Source organism: Homo sapiens, chromosome 3 (assembly GCF_000001405.40).
Source record: "Homo sapiens chromosome 3, GRCh38.p14 Primary Assembly".
Classification (NCBI taxonomy): domain Eukaryota; kingdom Metazoa; phylum Chordata; class Mammalia; order Primates; family Hominidae; genus Homo; species Homo sapiens.
In genome coordinates this window covers 125643433-125649362 of record NC_000003.12, presented here as the reverse complement: position 1 = coordinate 125649362, position 5930 = coordinate 125643433, and positions in this window count along the sequence as shown.

The window sequence follows — 5930 nt, the reverse complement described above, 5'->3', positions numbered from 1 at the left end:
TTGAACTCCTGAGCTCAAGGGACCCTCCTTCTTCAGCCTCCTAAGCAGCTGGGACTACAGGCACATGCCAGAGTGCCCAGGTAATTTTTTAATTTTTTTTGTACAGATAAGATCTTGCTATATTGCCTAGGCTGGTCTTGAACTCCTGGCTTCAAATCATCCTCCCATCTTAGCCTCTTAAAGTGTGGGATGACAGGCATCAACCACCTCGCTGATGTACATGAGCCACAGGAAGTTGGTGTGCTTCACACAGGCCAGAGTGACCAGCAGCATCTTCATTCTGGCTATTGCATGCCAGGGGCTGGTGATGGTGCCTGTCTCCTGGATCATATTCAGAAAGGGTTTCCTTATGGACATTGCCAGCAACGTTGGCATCATGTGGCCACATGATCCAGCAGACCTGGAGGGTGGACAGTATCTCAGCTGGAGGAGAATGCAGGTGTCTCCAAGCCTTATCTTTTCTTTTTCTTTATTTTTACTTATTTATTTATTTATTTATTTATTTATTTATTTATTTTTGGTCACCTTTATTCTACATCTATGCCTATGCTTACCCAAGGCCTTATCTTTTATTCCTTTTGATTTTTTTGTTTTTTGTTTTGTTTTGTTTTGTTTTGTTTTGACATGAAGTCTCTCTGTGTCACCCAGGCTGGAGTGCAATGGTGCGATCTCGGCTCATTGCTACTTCTACCTCTCAGCTCAAGCAATTCTTGTACCTCAGCCTCCTGAGTAGCTGGGACTACAGGTACTTGCCACCACGCCTGGCTAATTTTTGTATTTTTAGTAGTGACAAGGTTTCACCATGTTGGTCACACTGCTCTCGAACTCCTGGCCTCACGTGATCCGCCTGCCTTGGCCTCCCAAAGTGCTGGGATTACAGGCATGAGCCACTGTCCCTGGCCCCAAGGTCTTGTCTTATAAATGGCCCTTCTGCTCTTAAGAATGTGAGAACTGGGTCAAAGGGACTTAGCTGACTTAGTTGCGAATGTGAAGGGTAGACAGATCCCACAATTCACGACCTGGGACCTCAGGCAAATGCAGATTGCTTAACCTCTATTGCCTCATCTATAAACTGGGGCCAATAATGTTCATGTGGCTGTTTGAGGGATTAAATGACTTAATAAATTTAAAGCAATTAGAGTAGCCTAGCATGAAGAAAGCCCCCCAAAATGTTAGCAATCATTACTTCCTTCAGATGAGAAGTTGGCCTTGGATAGCTTCTAATGTCCACCCTCTACGATGTTTTTGATAATGTTGTGATTTTTTTTCCCTTTCCCCTCACTTTGTGAGCCTGCCCTTTCCTATCCATTTCCGTAGCTAGTCCCCTGGTCCAGGGTTACATTCTTAGGCTTTTTGGGAAGAAACAAAGGAGAGCTTCCCATTGTCCCCCAAAGGGGATGTCTTGAACACCCCTACGTTTGCAGCCCTTTCTCTTAACGTCTCCTTTCAGCTCCTCCAACTCCCAGACTGTGTGGTTCTGCACAACAGTGAAGAAAATGTCAAGGAACCGAAACAAGCTGAGGCAGGTAAGGTCCCACCCCCTCCTCCTGACGCCACTCTTATGCCGGAGGCCTGACTCACCAGTCAGGCTGGTGCGCCTGCAGCACCTGCCCTGGGTTTGCCTTTGATCCCTCCCCTGCAGCCTGGCCACCAGGAAACAAAAATCTCCTCTCTGGGTTTTCTAGGCCTTACCTTTTGATTCAGGGCAGACCAGAACCCAGGAAACCCTGAACTCCAGATAGACATCTGAAGGGAGAGATGTCTTCACTCTGCCTCCAGGTCAGGTCTTCAGAACTATGCTTTGTCCTAACCTCACCTGACTGGTGGAGCACATCCAGCCTCGTGCTCCTTGTTTTCTGGACAGTTTCCTTTTGTTGTGTTTGATTTCCTTCTCTCAAGTAGTCACTCGGTTTCCATAGTGAATCCTGACTGGCATGCTAGAGTATACAAAAAATCTCTGAGCCTCCCAAGGTGAGTTCTAGCAGGCCTGAACACACACTTGAAAGGTTATGCTTCCCTTGCCTCCTGTTCCAGCTTCCTACCATCCAGACTACACAAATCAGCAAGTACCTCTTTCTAAATGTGTTTTTTTAATTATCAGGGTCTCTCTCTGTTGCCCAGGCTGGAGTGCAGTGGCACAGTCATAGCTCACTGCAGCCTCCAACTCCTGGGCTCAAGTGATCCTCCCACCTCAGCCTTCCAAGTAGCTGGGACTACAGGCGCATGCCACTACACCCAGCTAATTATTAAACTTTTTGTAGAGATGGGATCTCATTATGTTGCCCAGGCTGGTCTTGAACTCCTGGGCTCAAGCAATGCTCTCACCTCACCCTCCCAAAGCACCGGGATTATAGATGTGAGCCACACTGTGCCCAGCCCACATTTTGAAGGGTAATCAAGGTGTGGAATCCTAATTAGGGAAAAGGAGTCAGGCTGGTGGAATCAGGAGAAAGCAAAAAGAGAAAGCAGATAAGCTACAAGTCTGCCTTTCTTCACAGTCTAGGACACATAGCCCTCCTATGCAGATAACTCACACTCTTCCTGTGCCCAGCTATCACCAGACCCTTGGCTGATAGAAAATTGCAAGTTAGCTCACTGCAGCCTTGGCATTATCAGTATTGCACAAAGCCCTCTTCAGCCTACAGCATAAACACTATCCTATAAAACATCCAGCAAGCCTTTGTTTCTTTGTAGTCAGCTCCTCTCTTCCTGGCTGCCCATTGCTTTCTTGCAACGTATTTTCATACTTTCTCTAATAAATCTGCCTTTCTTTTCCTACAACTGTCTTGGCAAATTATTTTTCCCCCATGCCACCAGCCCAGATAGTTGTCACTCACCCATGACACAAGGTACTAAATTTTTCATCTTACAGGTAGTTGTGACCTTGGAGTTCTATGATTTATACAAACTACACTTTGAGTAGCATCCCATGAGAGTTTGTTAGAAATATAAATTCTCTGGTCAACCCCAGATCTATTGAATCCATTTTGGGGCCTGGAGCCCAGCAATCTGTTTTCATAAGCATATTAGAATTTGAAAAGTGCTATTTGTAGACAACATTGATGAGCATCGCTGTTATTCTTCTCCCTTCCCCAACCTTCAATAGCATGTCAGTTCTCTGAAGACAGGCCCTTTATTCTTTTATGTTCACTTTTACATCCCTACTACCTAGAATGTGTTTGGTACAGAGTCAGTGCTTAATAAATAATTTGTTCAAATAGGAATTTAGAAATTAACCACACCCCTCTCCCTAAGGTTTGTGTCTTCACTGATTGGCCAGACTTTTAAGTAGGGGGCTGGTGGGTGTGGAAAGGAAGAACTCATCCAGACTAAATTTTTGGTTCAGCTTTGCAAATGAAGGGTGTGTGATCACAAAAGTCTGGGAGAGTTGGTTGGCCCATAGGCTTCTGAAATGTTGGCCATTTTATACCCCAAACCCGAAGCACATCAGTCAAAATGAGCTGTTCAGGCAGTGTGAGCAGCAAGCAGAAGAGATGCTAGACCACTGAAGCCTGTGGGTGGCCCCAAACCCACACAGCCCTTCTCCATGATACAACTTCTTCCCAGGGTTCCTCAAAATAACTTCATCTCATGCTTGTCCCCAGACTACCTCTAGAGGAGACAACAGGACAGGGCAGACAGAAACAAAGAACTTATGTTTAGGGGCCCCGCTAGAATGATTTAGTCCATTGATGTATCCCAGAGCCAAGATCATTTTCTGCCACAAATTAGGTGTTCAATAAATGTTTTTCTTTTTTTTTTAAGAGACAGGGTCTTGCTCTGTTGCCCAGGCTGGCCTCGAACGGGCTCAAGGGATCCTCTCGCCTCAGCCTCTTGAGTAGCTGGGACTACAGGCAAGTGCTACCACACATAACTTTTTATTTTTTGTAAAGGAGGGGTCTCACTATGTTTCCTAAGCTGGTCTCGAACTTCTGACCTCAAGCAATCCTTCTGCCAAGGTCTCCCAAAGTGCTAGGGTTACAGGTGTGAGCCACTGTGCCTGGCCTATATTTCTGAAATGTTTGAAGAAAAATAGCAAGATACCTTTGCTTTATAATGCTTGTGCTAAAAAGCCAATATCCTCTAGAATTGATATACTTCCTTAGTCCTGTCTTTCGAGGACATCCTGGATTCTTTTTTTTTTTTGAGACAGGGTCTCACTCTGTTGCCCAGGCTGAAGTGCAATGGCATGATCTTGGCTCACGACAGCCTCCGCCTCCCTGGTTCAAGCGATTCTCGTTCCTCAGCCTCCTGAGTAGGTGGGGTTACAGGCACCCACCACCATGCCTGGCTTTTTGTATTTTTGTAGAGACAGGGTTTCACCATGTTGCCCAGACTAGTCTCGAACTCCTGGACTCAAGTGGTCTGCCCACCTTGGCCTCCCAAAGTGCTGGGGTTATCAGCATGAGCCACCATGCCCAGCCTCATTCTAGTGTCTTGAAAAGACTCCACATGAGTCCAGAATGCTATCTGTGACCGAAACATGCATCTGAGCCAAGTGCCCAAGGCGTTAACCTTCAGGATAGCTCCTTAATTCTCTCTTAGTGAGGCAGCTGGGTTGTGGGGCCTGCCGCGTAGCTCATACTCAATAAACCAGCTCAGCATAGGCATAGGGAGGTCACCATGCTGATTCCAGGAATGCTTGCATGTCACTGAGAGCCATTGCCTTTATTTCTCACTGGAATCCCACGAACTCCCATCCCACTGAGAAGCTCAAAAGACAGACAATTACCCAGTATATAAAACCTGGCTTGGGGATTACTGAACAGTCCTTGGAAAGGGGTCAGTGTTGACCTAGGATTGGCAAAGCAGCACTCGCTCCATGGTTACCGAAACACACATCATCAAATAAGGGTGCAATCACAGTTATTGCACAACTTAGCAAAGCAAGAGCAAATCAACTATACTGAAGGAGAGGTCAAAGCTTCCAGGCTTCGCATGAGCCACCAGCTGTGTGCCTGTGGCCCAGATGCAATTCAGAGGGGTGACAAACACAAGGATATTGCCATTGGCTATGGCCTCACAGGCATCAGAAAAATATGCCTTTCCTAGAATCAGAAAAAGCAGCCTTTAGCTGTGTCTTCTGTCAGTCACCCTTTTCCCCACACACAGTGTGGCCTGTCCCTGGATTAGGGATTCAGACCCTAGCTCCCGGCTTGCTCAGGTGCCTAGCTTCTGACTCAGGTTCTGTATGAGGTCCCTTCATCACAGAGTCCATTCAGAGTTCTTCCACCCACCCTCTTGCTTCCTGGAGGCTCACTGCTAAATGATCCAAGAGAGACATTTAGACATTTTACTTTCTTTTTTTTTCTTTTCTTTTCTTTTTTTTTTTTTGAGACGGAGTCTCACCCTGTCACCCAGGCTGGAGTACAGTGGTACCATCTCAGCTCACTGCAACCTCTGCCTCCTGGGTTGAAGTGATTCTCCTGCCTCAGCCTCCCGGGTAGCTAGGATTACAGGCATGGACTACCACACTCAGCTAATATCTGTATTTTTAGTAGAGATGGGGTTTCACCATGTTGGCCAGGCTGGTCTTGAACTCCTGATCTCAGGTGATCCGCCTGTCTTGGCCTCCCAAAGTGCAAGGATTATAGGCATGAGCCACCGCACCCGGCAAATATTTTCATTACCAGATATCCCCAGGGTAATTTTTATTTTATTACAAAAGACATTTTATATAGCACACAAGCTTATGGATTAACTTTACTTATTTATAATCCTTTTCCCCACACATAAGCAAAAATTCCACCTGGAAATACTAAATTTTATGATTTGCCATGATTCTTTAGCAAGCAGTGACTTCTGCATGTTGCTCAGAGAGTCTCAGCCTTTCCCTGTGCACTCCCTAATGCATCAGATCACAAGGACACTCCATCCCCACTTGTCTCAAGTTCCAGACAGATGGAAGATATAACATCTCCCCACATTTT